At 34.5% G+C, this 13,688-nt stretch overlaps 1 protein-coding gene across 30 annotated transcripts in view; it reads right to left on the bottom strand.

The window, feature by feature from the left end:
- CFAP69 (cilia and flagella associated protein 69) overlaps positions 1-13,688 on the bottom strand; it is a 78,550-nt gene that overhangs the window by 36,875 nt on the left and 27,987 nt on the right. For 29 of the 30 annotated variants that reach the window (XR_927530.2, XR_927531.3, XM_011516577.3 and 26 more), the window contains 6 exons: positions 12,739-12,862; positions 9,728-9,776; positions 9,515-9,636; positions 6,956-7,172; positions 3,793-3,957; positions 450-568 (listed from right to left, as the gene is read on the bottom strand). Coding sequence is in view for 28 of the 30 variants with exons in the window: in XM_011516577.3 (XP_011514879.1) it covers positions 450-568; positions 3,793-3,957; positions 6,956-7,172; positions 9,515-9,636; positions 9,728-9,776; positions 12,739-12,862 (796 nt within the window). In the remaining 2 variants the exon portion in view is untranslated. Of the gene's footprint in view, positions 1-449; positions 569-3,792; positions 3,958-4,698; positions 4,792-6,955; positions 7,173-9,514; positions 9,637-9,727; positions 9,777-12,738; positions 12,863-13,688 lie in introns of those variants that run through there. The other variant, XM_017012642.2, reaches the window with a different exon arrangement.

Genomic DNA, 13,688 nt, shown 5'->3' with positions numbered 1-13,688 from the left:
CCCAAAGTGCTGAGATTACAGGCCTGAGCCACCATGCCCGGCCAACATGGATATATTTCTAAAATATGATGCTGGGTGACAGAATCCAGACATAAAAGAGTAAATATTGTGCGATTCCATTGATATAAACTTAAAGAATAGGGAAAACCAACCTATAGGAATAGAAAACAGAACAGTAGTTTGTCTGGAAGTGAGTAGGGGCATGGCTTCTAATGGGATGAGGAAATTTTATAGAGATAGAAATATTCTCTGTTTTAATTGGGGGTATGAGTTAAATGGGTGTATACTGTTGTATATTCTGTACCTTTTACTTTATATAATTATGCTCTAATTATTAACAAAAATATTAAATTTTCACAAAATTAAATACAATTATAGAGACTTCCAAAAATAGTTTATAGTGTTAGGTGACTGGGAGACCTGAACAAAACTTTCACAGGCATACATACCTTCCTTTGAATGTGATTCTCACAAAGGCCAGATAGGATAAGTAATATATCAGACTGGATTTCCAAAACAATGGCTTCTTCCTTTTCATTAGGCTTGCTTATTATATTTTTAAAGATTCCTGGTATGAAAACATTTAAAGACTGTATAGTTATTGGACACTACTTTTATTTTGATCAATTACTGTTTGGAAATCTCTTCTAAAAAGTTTATTTGGCTAGAGAAACTTTTATTTTATTTACTTATTTATTTTTATTTGTTATAAAGAGACAGGGTCTCATTATGTTGCCTAGGCTAATCTTGAATTCCTCAGCTCAAGTAATCCTCCTGCCTCGGCCTTGCAAAGTGTTGGGATTACAGGCGTGCACGACCATGCCCAGCCTAGAAAAACTATTTTAGAAGAGGATATTTTCATTGCATAGTAACCTAGAGGCTGTGAAAAGAAGATGATAAATGAATTCCTGGAGCTTTCAATACAATCAGTAGCCCTACCTACATATATAGAATTTCTGAATGTAATCCATAGCCTCACATATATAGAAATTCTAGTTCAGAATTAACAGTATGTCATTAAAGGATGCCCCAATAACCTGACACTTTGCTCAGCAAACTGGGTTTAAAAATATGCAGAGTTTCATGAGGTAGGAAATGAGTGCCTTTGCAAATATATGACCAAATTTCCTGACTGTGGTTTGCCTAATCTCTTCCTCTCCTCATGGTTAACAGGGTCAATTCTAAGCAAAGGTGGCAGATCTCTTTAGGTGTGCTTTCTATTCCTGTTATTGCTTTCTGCATCTTTCCTTGATGTCTAACTGAAGGTGTTTTAAACAATTTTAGGTAACAGTATTCCATGTCCTTTAAAATCCCTCTTTTGCTTCCAGTTGAAATTGAAAAGGACTGAAGATGGCCACTAACACTGACGAAATGATATTCATGATACACTTTTGCCTCAAAAAGGATTTTTTTAAGCTTTAAATAAAGAAAAAAAGTGACTTTTTCTCGGTTAAAGGGGTAACTGGCATTAGTGGGAAAGTATGGAGCTATGTTCCAAAGTAGAAGGGCCATGGAAATCATAGCCTATCTCCATAACTGGCCCTGAGCGACTGACTATTCTAGGTCCCATTAGGATGAATTACAGGTGGGGGATCAGACCCTAAGAGAGGCTAGCTGAGCCTGCTGGAGGCCCAGTGCTGGGGTATGCCATGGACAGAGGGGCCTATATCGCTTTATCAGGAACATCTTCTGGGAATCCAGTTTGACTGGCCATAGTTCTGCTTCTTCTTTCTAGATCATAGCATTCTTCTTCCTACCTGGGTGCAGGCAGAAACTTTCCCTGCTGCCTGTAACACATAGTATAATGCTCATATTTATGTACCCTTCAACTCCTTGCCTTTATTCTCTCCTTGTTATAGATCATTCTATTTCTCCCAGTTTCTTCTTCCTAAAACATAACATTGTACATATAACCTCACTAATCAAAACCCTTTGAGGCTCTCCATGCCTTAAGAGGATGAAGTTCGAACTACTGTCAATCACTCAAAACTCATTCCATCTTGGCCTCTGACTATACAATTAACCTATCTTGTGTTATTTATCTTCATAAAACTTTGGCTCCTCTTAAACTAGTTCTGAACACATCACCATGCATATTTCAGGACCATGTCTCTCTGTTCATGGTATTTCCTTGCTTGAAGGCCTTCTCTTCTTTTCCACCTCTAAACTACCTTTACCTCACAGAATCCTAAGACTTCCTAGCCTTGAAAACTACCCAAGCCTCTTAGTTTCTGTAACATTTACTCTGTCCTACTCATTAAGTGTCTAATTGATGACGTGTAGGCTAACACATGCTATCTTTCTATGATACATGTAGTTTCTATTTTCTCATTAAGGAAAAGGTCCTTGGTGTCCTGCTCTATACATGTTTGTAACCCCAGTGTCTACACAGGAAGTATATAAACATTTATATTTTATTTCAATAGTTTTTGGGGAATAGGTGGTTTTTGGTTACATGGATAAGTTCTTTATTGGTGGTTTCTGAGATTTTGGTGCACCTGTCACCAAGCAGTGTACACTGTACCCAGGAAGTGTATAAACATTTACATTTAAAATCTAGTTACTACTTATTGAGCACGTTACTACTACACAGCCATGTTAGACTCAATAAGACAAGGTCCCTGCCTCTAAGAACTTAACATAAAGATCAGCTTCTTTCCGGTTAAAGGGAAAAGGTTCTAAGAAGAAAAAAACCATTGCTATTTGTTTTCCCTTTTCCCTACCCTATTCCCTAGTGCAGGCAGGATTAAGAATTCTTCCTAGACATATGAAAGATTACGTTTCCTGGATTTCCTCTAGTTAGACTGAGTTTTGTGCAACAGAATGTGCACAGGAATGATAAACTGTACTTTCAGGTTTGTTCATCCCAAACAAACTGGGCAAAAAGGTAAATGTTTTCACCTAGCTCCTTTTCAATATACTTTGATTTCCTGCTATTTCCTATATTATTATTATTATTATTGGAGAGCACCACTCCACTCCACTAGTGATGGAAGAGTAACCACCTTAATTTAACAAGTAGAAGATTTTTTGAGTAGGCATTTATAATTAATTGACATCTAGCAGATTATATAATTGACTAGTGAAGCAATCACTGAATACGAACGACTGAAATAGCTCTTTTCAAAGTCAAGGATCTAGAGAACTATTTATTTTTTAAATAACAAAAGGCAAAGCAGCTTTTGTTTAGGGGTTCTGAATTTTACACTGAGTTTATGTGTACTTATTTTATGAGATACTCATTAAGTGTCTAATTGATGACGTATAGGGTAACACATGCAGTATTTCTATGATACACATAATTTCCATTTTCTTTTCTAGCATAGTCAAGTGTAAGCTAAAAGTCAAGGATATTCTGATATTTCATATCAGAAAAGAAACTCCTCTGTACATTTCTGTAAATACCAATGTACCAGTGTTCTGTTATGACACATGCATTGGAATATGCCATGTTATCCTGTTTTAAAATAGCTCCAAAAGCCTTGGTCAAAAGTGGTGACCTTTATTACTAAAAGAATAAAACATAACAATAGACCATTTTAAAAAAAGATAAAGATAATCCTAAATGAAATGATATTTGAGTTGAAGAAATAAATGCTTAAAGGGTTAGTAAGTATGATATTTCAATAAGACACACTAATTTATAGCAGCAATATGAAACAAAAATCAAGAAAATATTCAGGAATTTCTCAGTCATAAAGACAAAATAAATTTTGGAAAAACATTTCAAACAAAACTACTACTATTAAAAATATTCCTCTTTCATCAGTAAACCACCATGTTATATTTTACCTATCATTTGCTGAATTGTTCCCTTTTCACAAAGATCTTTGTTTACAGTCTCATCTTCAAGGTAGACCACGGCTCTCAGGAGTCTTAAACTGTAACGCATCTGGGCAAACTTGTTGCCTCGGCCACCTGTACCATGAAAACTGTTACCATGACTGAAAAACGGATCTGTGGAGAAAAAGTGATAATTTAAAACAAAAACATTTCAAATAAAGCAAATATATCAGATATCTTATACATCTATCAAAAGTTTAAACAAATGTTAAAATTTTGTCATATTTGCTTTAGTTTTTTTTTAGAGAAATAAAATATTATCCCTTTTCCCTCTTACTATTCTCAGAATAGAAGTATGTGTTTTGGAATTTTACTCAAATGTATCATATTATATGTATCTTTTGTAATTTGCTTCTGTTATTCAACATGTTTATTTTAAAAATTATTCACATTGTCACAAGTAGATCTAGATTATTAATTTTAATTCGTTTCAGCATTCATTTTTATAAATAAATTATAGTTTATCCATTCACTACTATAAACTGTTACAATAAACATTCTGGTTCATGTCCTCTTATATCCATTGAGAAGAGTTTTTCCATGTGACCAGAATAATACAGGATACATCCACATTGAATTTTACTAAAGGTGCTAAATTGTTTTCCAAGGTGTTTATACAGATACAATGTATAAGATGAGTTAATTTTTCTTTTTTAAGAGACAGGGTCTTGCTCTGTTGCCCAGGCTAGAGTGCAGTGGTATGATCACAGCTCATTGAAGTCTCAATCTCCTGGGCTCAAGCAATACTCCCATCTCAGCCTCCCAAGAAGCTAGGACTACAGGTGTGTGCCACTATGACCAGCTGCTTTTTTTTTTTAAGAGATGGGGTCTCACCATGTTGCCCAGGCTGGTCTTGAACTTCTGGCCTCAAGTGATCCTCCTGCCTTGAAAGTGTTGGGATTACAGGTGTGAGCTACTGCACCTGGCCTTGATTTTCCCCCACGAAATCTGTTAAATGTGAAATGGTAGTTTATTGCTGTTAATTTGCATTTATCTGATTGCCAACAGGATTTAGAGTTTTTCAATGTTTTTTGAAAATTTGGGGTTTTCTCTGTGACATGGCAGTCCCTAGTCCTTGTATACTTCTCTACTGAGTTGTTTTCTTATTGATATATAGGAGTTCTTTATGAACCTGGATTCTAATCTATTATCAGTCACAGGGGTAATAAATGTCATCTCTCACTTTGTAAATTAGTATTTCACTTAGATTTTGTCAAATAGACATTTGTACGTTTTACAGTAGTTAAATGCATCGATCTTTTCTTATACCTTTAACTCATGAGTCTTTTTAAAGAAACCTTTCCTACACTGATATCTAGCAAAAAGATATTTTCCCATGTTTTCTTCTAAGAGTTTCACTGTATGACTTTTCATATTTACATCTTTAATTTATTACTTTTGCAATTGATTTTTAGAAAAAACAAAGTGAAGAGGTCTAATTTTTATTTTTTCACATGGAGGACCAACTGCCCCAACACCACCCTTCCCTCACTGATTGGCAGTATCATCTCTCATAAAGCCAACCTTTCATATATTCCATGCCATTGGTCTCTCCATGACCCAGTACCACATAATTTTAATTACTATAGCTTTATCGTAGGTCTTGATAAATAGCAAGGCAAATCCTCCCTTCTTTATGCTATGCTTTCTTTAAAAGCTGCTTTTAGAAGTAGCTTTATGTTTCTAGCTAAAAAAAAAAAAAGTTGAAAATACTGTTCTGAGTATTGCATGTTGGTTAAAATTGTGGGTTCTATTATAGAACCTGGGTTAAATTTTTGCTCTGCCACTTGTGGCCAGGAATAATTATTTAGCTTCTTAGACTGAGTTCTACCCATCTGATACAAAGGGATAATAAGAGTACCTATACCTCCTAGGTTTGTTGAGAGGACTAAATGACTTAATACTTGGAAGGTGTTTAAAGCTCACCAGATAGTAGGTTCTGAATAACTATTAGCTATCAGTCTTTCTCTTATTAGCCAGCATTTCCCCTTTTGCCTTAAAGTCTTCTACAAACATAAATGATATAAAGGATAGGCTGAAGAATTGCTTTATTCAGTGGAAAATAATTTTACAAGACTAAATTTAGTAGCTCAGCATATTAGAAACTAGAGAATAAAAAGCCTATCATTTTTTCCTCCTTCATGCATAAATGGGTGATATTCTTGATCTAATGAAAATGCATCATACAAAATTATTGCCAGAGCAAAATTTCTACCAGAAAAGAGGCAATATCTTCCTTATAAAACTTTTTAAAAAAGGAATGTATTTCTTATTTCCTTTCTAAGAACTAAAACAAAATACAAATAAATTGGGGCTCTACTAATTTGGTAGACCACACTGGAGTCATTACTTCTGGCTAGAGATCTAGATTTTAAGCTCCATAGAGAAAAGGATATTTATTTTAAGCCTAACTGTATTTTCAGTAGTTAAGACAGTATCTAGTACTCAGTAGGCAGTCATAAATATTTGTTGAATGAATGCATTATAATACTGCCAGACTGGGCAATATTGTAATTCATTTCAGGCTCACGCCTGTAATCGCAACACTGTGAGAGGCCGAAGTAGGCAGATGGCTTGAGCCCAGGAGTTTGAGACCAGCCGGGGCAACATGGCGAAACCCTGTCTATATAAAATACAAAAATTAGCTTCGTGTGGTGGCATGAACTTGTAGTCCCAGCTACTGGGAAGGCTGGGGTGGGAGGATCGCTAGAGCCCAGGAGGTTGAGGCTGTAGTGAGCCATGAGCATGCCATTGCACTATAGCCTGGGTGACAGGGTGAGACCCTGTCTCAACAAACAAACAAAGCAAATAAAATATTGCCAGCATTTATTTTCTTCCCAAATATAATTTTTAGATAGGTCTAATAATACAAAAATTCAAATTACATGTATGATTTCTTTCGGGTGTGCATCAACTATGACATTTACTGACGTCTGACTTTAAAATCTGTGTTTTTCTTAAAACAACATATAAATACATTAAGAAGATAGGTCTGTGTGTTTTTACTTCTCATTGCTTTAATTAACTTCATTGTTATTTCTATGCATATACTGAGCATTCAGTTGAAATATGAAGATTAGAATTTTGACAAGAATCTTGAAGGGCCACTCACCTTCACTCTCACACCATTCTAGAAATGCAAGGACTCGAGCATTTCCCTGGCATGACATGTATTCTTCTATTAATAAAGGAGCCACTGATGACAAAGTGGCAATTGCATGCAGTTGTAATTCTTCATGCTGTGCTGCAGACCAGTCAATTATTTTTTGCTTCTCAGGCTTCTTAACATAGGTAAACAAAGCCAAAATAACTTTGCCATCAATTAATAGCTGTGAGAAAGAACAAAGGATACTTTGTTAGAAACATAGCCAAAAATACTTTAAGGCAATTAAATAAAAATTTACATTTTGATGTTTTATTGGGGATTATTTCAAAATAATTCCTTTATAAAATAACCCCAATCTATGATAGGTACCAAAAAAAAAACACCAAAAATTAAATAAGTTATAATCCTCTTTTCTGAGGTATGTACTCCCTGACAATAATATAAAATATGTATTAATTTTTTGTTTTTGCTGCTCATATATGTAATGTAGTTCCTGCTTATAATAAAACCATAGGATATTTTAACGTATAATAAAACGTATAATAAAACGTATAACGTATTTTACTTTAACGTACAATAAAACATAGAATATTTTGGGGCAAGTGCTGACATCTCTTTCCTCACTCTTTTTTTAAAAGGAAATATCTCACAGACTCAGTTGTGTACCATAAAAAAGAATTTTGTCTGAGGTAATGACTACAGTGAATATTTAACCACATGCAACAGTACTTACATAAACATTCTACCAAATAAATGTCAGTTAGGTCACAAGCCATGTTTCATTACATGCCTAGTATTTTAAAATTTTATTGAACCCATCATTTTAATAAAAATGAGATTAAAATGCATAGCTATTATGACAACAGAATTAATACAGCTGATTCTGATGGATACATATTTATGATTCACAAGAGAATAAAACACCATATGCTATATTTAATTTTCTTTTAATTTGGCATTATTCTATAAAGATTTTAACAAAAACAATTAATTTTTCTAGTTCCTTACTAGTCCATGTGAAAAGAATGCAAGATTTAGAGTTGAGAAAACAGGAATAACTACTAGTTCTAACATTCTTGCTAGAATTAAGTATATAATGTTTCAAAAAACACCCCTGTGTATTGCAAATGATAGTGTACATATTCATTATCATTACTAGTAATATTACTGGACCACAAATTATGTGACACATAAAAATTGTTGATTTCACCGCTCACAAAGTGTTTTAAGAAGCTCCTCACCATAATCTGTGCTACTTGGCTCTGTTGCCTATAAAGTGTTGTTCAATTAATTAGAATTGACTTATAAACTGTAGTATAAATTTTATTATCTTTATAGGTCTAATTTTAATATTTATATAATACTGTATTGGAATAATAAACCATACTTTATGGAATAATTTTCCAAATGATTTTCCATTTGCATTTTGGAAAATACATTTAGGTTCTACACAGTATGTATTTTTTTGTCACAAATAATAAAGTTATAATTATAAAGACAACTTTTCTTTTCCTGAGCATTTGAAAATATATATATTCCTTAAAGTTGCATTACTAAGAAAATGTTCAGCTCAGTTAAATGCTCATAATAATCTCGAGGTAGGTGTTATCCCCATGTTGAAGTTGAGCTACCTGGGATTTAGAGAAATCAAACAACCCATTTAATGCCACATAGCTAGAAAGCGGTAGCACTGAGATTCTGTCTGACTAAAGCCTTTACTGCTAGACTACCCCATCTTTCTATTATTGGTAGTGAAGTTGATAGACTGAATTCCTACTTCTTTTTCATAGTAATCCTTGGAGCTTGGTAGAGTTTTAGATTAAATGGAAATTTCACTTAATGCAGTAACTAACTAAACAGAATTGTTAATAATACATTTACTGTCACTTTATAGTTTAAAAAGCCTTCATAGCAACTTCACGATAGACCTGTGAGCAGAGCTGAAGCATTATAATCTTTCCTTTACAGGAGGAGGAAATGAACCACAGATAGACGAGGTAATTTTTCTAAGGCCACATAGCTAGTAGGTGATAAGCCAGAAGTGAAATTCAGTTCCAATATTTTTCAAATTATATCACGCTGTTATGCAGGAAACAAAGTATTAAGATAAATTCATAGAGAGTAAAAGTGATTAAAGACATTAGGTTTGTGTGATGAAAAAGCAGGTTCATAAGAGTTTGAGATTGGCATCACAGAGGTTAATAATTTTCTCCAGCATTAAATCAGTCCTTGTTATGGTCAGAGACAGATTATTAGGCTGGAATGGGCCTATGTGAAGCTTCTTTCATTTTATGCTGTCTAATTCAAGAGATCTAACTGTATTATTAAATCTCTTAGGTTCTACTATTTTTCTCTGGTTTATGTGGTTTAAATTTAAGTACTTCACTGTTTACTAACAGATAAGCAAAGAAAAAATTTAAAAGCTAAAATTCAGGCCAGTAAGATTTTACTGCTTTCTGTGGTAAATATATGAACCGATAAAATATTTACAGTCAAGACTTTAAAATAGTTATACTACAAAGTAAGACAATTTTTATTGATTTTCCTGCCTTGATTACTCTTTACCTGTACAGTAGGTAAATCTTTACATAAGATCACAATTACGTTGAATAGTAATTTCTTCAACTCAAAATCTTCATAGGAATTAGAAAGCTTAAGTCCTTTTACCAAAAGATTTTGACTTTTAACTGTGAGGGAAAAAAAGTAAAATGAAAGCTTAAATGTTGTACAAGACTTATCAAGATAATTATAAGAAGTTTAAAGTTTTATTCTTTTTACCTTCATTAAAGGTGGCAAACAGTATCAAATCCTTGGTAAAGCCACATTCCTAATATAAATACATAAAATAAGCAGAAAGATGAATGAATAAGATGAAAGTTATGATGCAGATGCTCATATTTACTACTTAAGTACATTTATCAAATTCTCCTACTGTCATTCATTTGAATTCATAAAGCATGAATAGTAATAAAGAGTGAGGCAAAAAATAAAAACATATAGCCAGATAAGCTTATTTAAAATTAAATAAGCCAGATTTATTTAATTTTAAACTTACTTCTGTAGGTTCTAAGAAATATTTTATATTATTCTATGAATAGTCTGTTTAAAATTGTTAAGGATCCAAAGTATATTAGGTCTTTATAGTTACTTCTATAATTCGTTACCTATACTTCAAATGACACAGTAAGGGAGGAAAATCCAGTTATTCTCAACAGCTTTTCTTCTTAAACACTTCCACTTCTACCCCAACCATTCTTGTTATGTCAAATGTTTGGTCAAGAGATAATAAAGTAGTTCCTACTTAGCATGAAAAGCCCTGAAGAATCACCAGAGTTGCAAACATTTTAGCATATCAGCATTCCTGACAGAGATATCCTAGTTGGATTTTGCACATTAGGGAGAGTTTACAGGGGCAAACCCTGGGCTTATGAGCTTGTAGTTTTATAGCCCCATTACTTTAGGATCTATATGGTTTCTTTAGATGCTGAAGATATTATTTCCTTTGACTCACATTCGTGAAATTCATCTGAATGTTTGCAAGGACACTAATGAGAAATTACTACCTGACCAGGGGATTCTAGAGAAACAAAGGTCTACCTATAAGTTGCAGCTTTAACTAGGATACTATGTAGCACTGTTTCCCTATTTGCACAGCATGAATTCCATGACTCTTGGGACTACTTGACGTCCACTGTTAGTGGGCTGAGGTCGTCACAGCCAGTTCTTTGTAGCACAACTAGAACTTACGTGACTGACTTGTGAATATTGTTGCCAAGGATCTCTATTAAATAATTTCAATCATTCAATGATTTTTAATTATAAAATATGTGAAGGCTCAGCTTCTGGTACAGATGAGTAGTAGCTCCGAGAGAAATTCTCCTGCTGGTGACAAATAAAACTATCTTGTGACCAAGAGTAAGCAGACACTGGAAGGATGTCAGAATTTTGTAGAAGGGAATGGCACTACACGAGTTTCCCATTTTAAAAAAGGCTTTTGGGGCCGGGCGCGGTGGCTCACGCCTGTAATCCCAGCACTTTGGGAGGCCAAGGCGGGCAGATCCTGAGGTCAGGAGATCGAGACCATCCTGGCTAACACAGTGAAACCCTGTCTCTACTAAAAATACGAAAAAATTAGCCGGGTGTGGTGGCGGGTGCCTGTAGTCCCAGCTACTCAGGAGACTGAGGCAGGAGAATGGCGCAAACCCGGGAGGCGGAGCTTGCAGTGAGCTGAGATCGCGCCACTGCACTCCGGCCTGGGCGACAGAGCAAGATTCCGTCTCAAAAAAAAAAAAAAAAAAAAAAAAAAAAAGGCTTTTGGCCTGAGAGCAGGCCGTATTCTACACCTCGTGGAAATGCTAAAACTCAGAGTAACCCTGTGGTCTTAGTGGCCTGAAGAACCAGAGGGCAGAGGCAACCACAGCCATTGGAAAGTGAAGGGAGAAATCCCATAAAGGAGAGAGCCAGAGAGAGAGAATGCTAAATTCTGTGTACAAACTCTTCCCAAATATCTGGCTGATAGCTGAACCACACAAGTGCAGAGAATACTCAAGCATCCCAGGCAAGAACTGAATTAAGATTTGGGCTGCCATACCTCAAAAAGGGATGAGTACAGCTAAGTTAAATATGTAGTTATTAAAAATTCTTCAGAGGAGTATACCAGAATCTACAGTAAAGATGCTCATAATGAATAGAAAGATAAGAACTCTCAGGAGAGACACTATAAAAAGGAATAAAAATAAATTCTAAAACTGAAAAATATATCTGAAGTAAAAATGCACTGGATGAGATTAACAGCAGAATGGAGATGACAGAAATAAAAAAGTCAGTGAATTTAAATATATAGACTAATACAAATTATCCAACCTGAAGAATAGAGAGAAAAATGATTGAAAAAAGTGAGCAGAGCCTCACAAACCTGTGGGACAATATCAAAAAGTCAAACATAAAAGTAATCAGAGCCTCTGAAGAAGTGGGGAGAGAGAATGGGGCTGAAAAAATATTTGAAGAAATAATGGCCAAGAGTTCTCCAAATCTTCTCAAAGACTTAAATTTATATATCCAAGAAGCTCTATGAAACCTAAGCAGAACAAATACAAAGGAGATCTCACCTTAGCACATCATTTCGAAACTGCTAGGAACCAAAGATAGAGTTAAAATCTTGAAAACAGTGAGAGAAAAGGATGATATATTATACATAGGGGAATAACGATTTGAAATAATGGATACTTCTCATCAGAGTCCAGGGTGCTCACCATTACACCATGGAACCTCACAATGAATATTTCTCATCAGAAACAACAGACTCCATAAGACAGCAGAACTTTATCTTTGAAATGCTAAACAAAAACATTTTTCAGCCTAGAGTTCTATATTCAATGAGCATAGACTTTAAGAATTAAGATGAATTAAATATATTTTCAGATAAAAGAAAACTAAGATAACTTGTTGCCAGCAGCCAGTAGATTTGCACCACAAGAAATTGTAAACAAAGTTCTTCCAGTGAAAGAGAAATGATGCCAGATGGAAACTCAAATCATCAGGAAGGAAAGAAAAGCATCATAAGTGGTAAATACATGTATAAATCACACAATATGAGGAAGATTCCAAATTTCCAAAGGATTGCAAAGAAGAATTGGCAGAGTGATAAGCACACTGGTGACCATCAAGATATTACAGCATAACTTAGCATTACAAGAAAATACACAAATATTCCAACATAATATAGGACTTCTTTCACCCAAGCCCACCACTTCCACAATTAAAATTAATGCAATTTGATTCATACTTACAATCATTGGTGCTTCAGGATTTTGAGCTATAATTGTAGTGATCACTAATATGTCATTTCTAAGCTGACGGTCATAATGACTGAAACCTCTCATAAACAGATTTTTAAATACTTCCTTCAAAGCCCTAGAAAGTAAAATCATATTTTAAAAACTATATTGTTATACACTAAATGTTTGCGTCCCTCCAAAATTCATATATTTAAATCCTAACCCCCAATGTGATGGTTTTAGGAGTGAGGCCTTAGGGAGGTAATGAGCCCTCATGAATGGAATTAGTGCCCTTATAAAAGGGACTCCAGAGAGCTGTCTTGCTCTCTTTCCTCCATGTAAGAATACAAGAGATCAGCAGTATGCAACCCAGAAGAGCACCCTCATCAGAACCCAACCACACTGGCACCCTGATATCAGAATTCTAGCCTCCCAAACTGAAAAATAACTTTCTGTTGTTTATAAACCACCCAGTTTACGGTACTTTATTATAGCAGCTCAAACTAAAACACACACTTTTATGAAAATACTTCCTGAATGTCTATCAACAAAATCTCCCTTTTTATATTATACTATTCATTTGAACATATTTCTAATATTTTTTACACTTCCAAATCTGCCTCTAATCCTCTATGTACCAGATAAGAATCCACTAAACCAGTCTATTACACATGGTGGTCAAAGTGACAGCTCTATAACACATTCAATCATGTCATTTTCCTTTGTAAAACCATTTAAAGACTATTCTTTGTTCTTAGGATTAAGTCCTACCTCCTTAACAAGGCTTATTAGACCTTTCATGTTATGGTCCCTGATAACATTGTTAGCCTCATCTCTCACCATTGTAGCCTGTTCCTTCTGCTCTCATCATACTGAATTTTAGTTTTCTGATTTTGCTAATTATATTTTCACTTGTTTTCCCTGTCTAGGATGCTCTCCGCATGCAAAACTTTTCTGTTACC

The sequence above is a fragment of the Homo sapiens genome, chromosome 7 (assembly GCF_000001405.40).
Source record: "Homo sapiens chromosome 7, GRCh38.p14 Primary Assembly".
Lineage (NCBI taxonomy): Eukaryota > Metazoa > Chordata > Mammalia > Primates > Hominidae > Homo > Homo sapiens.
Note: the sequence above shows the minus strand (reverse complement) of the source record. Positions and strands in the feature narration are given on the sequence as shown.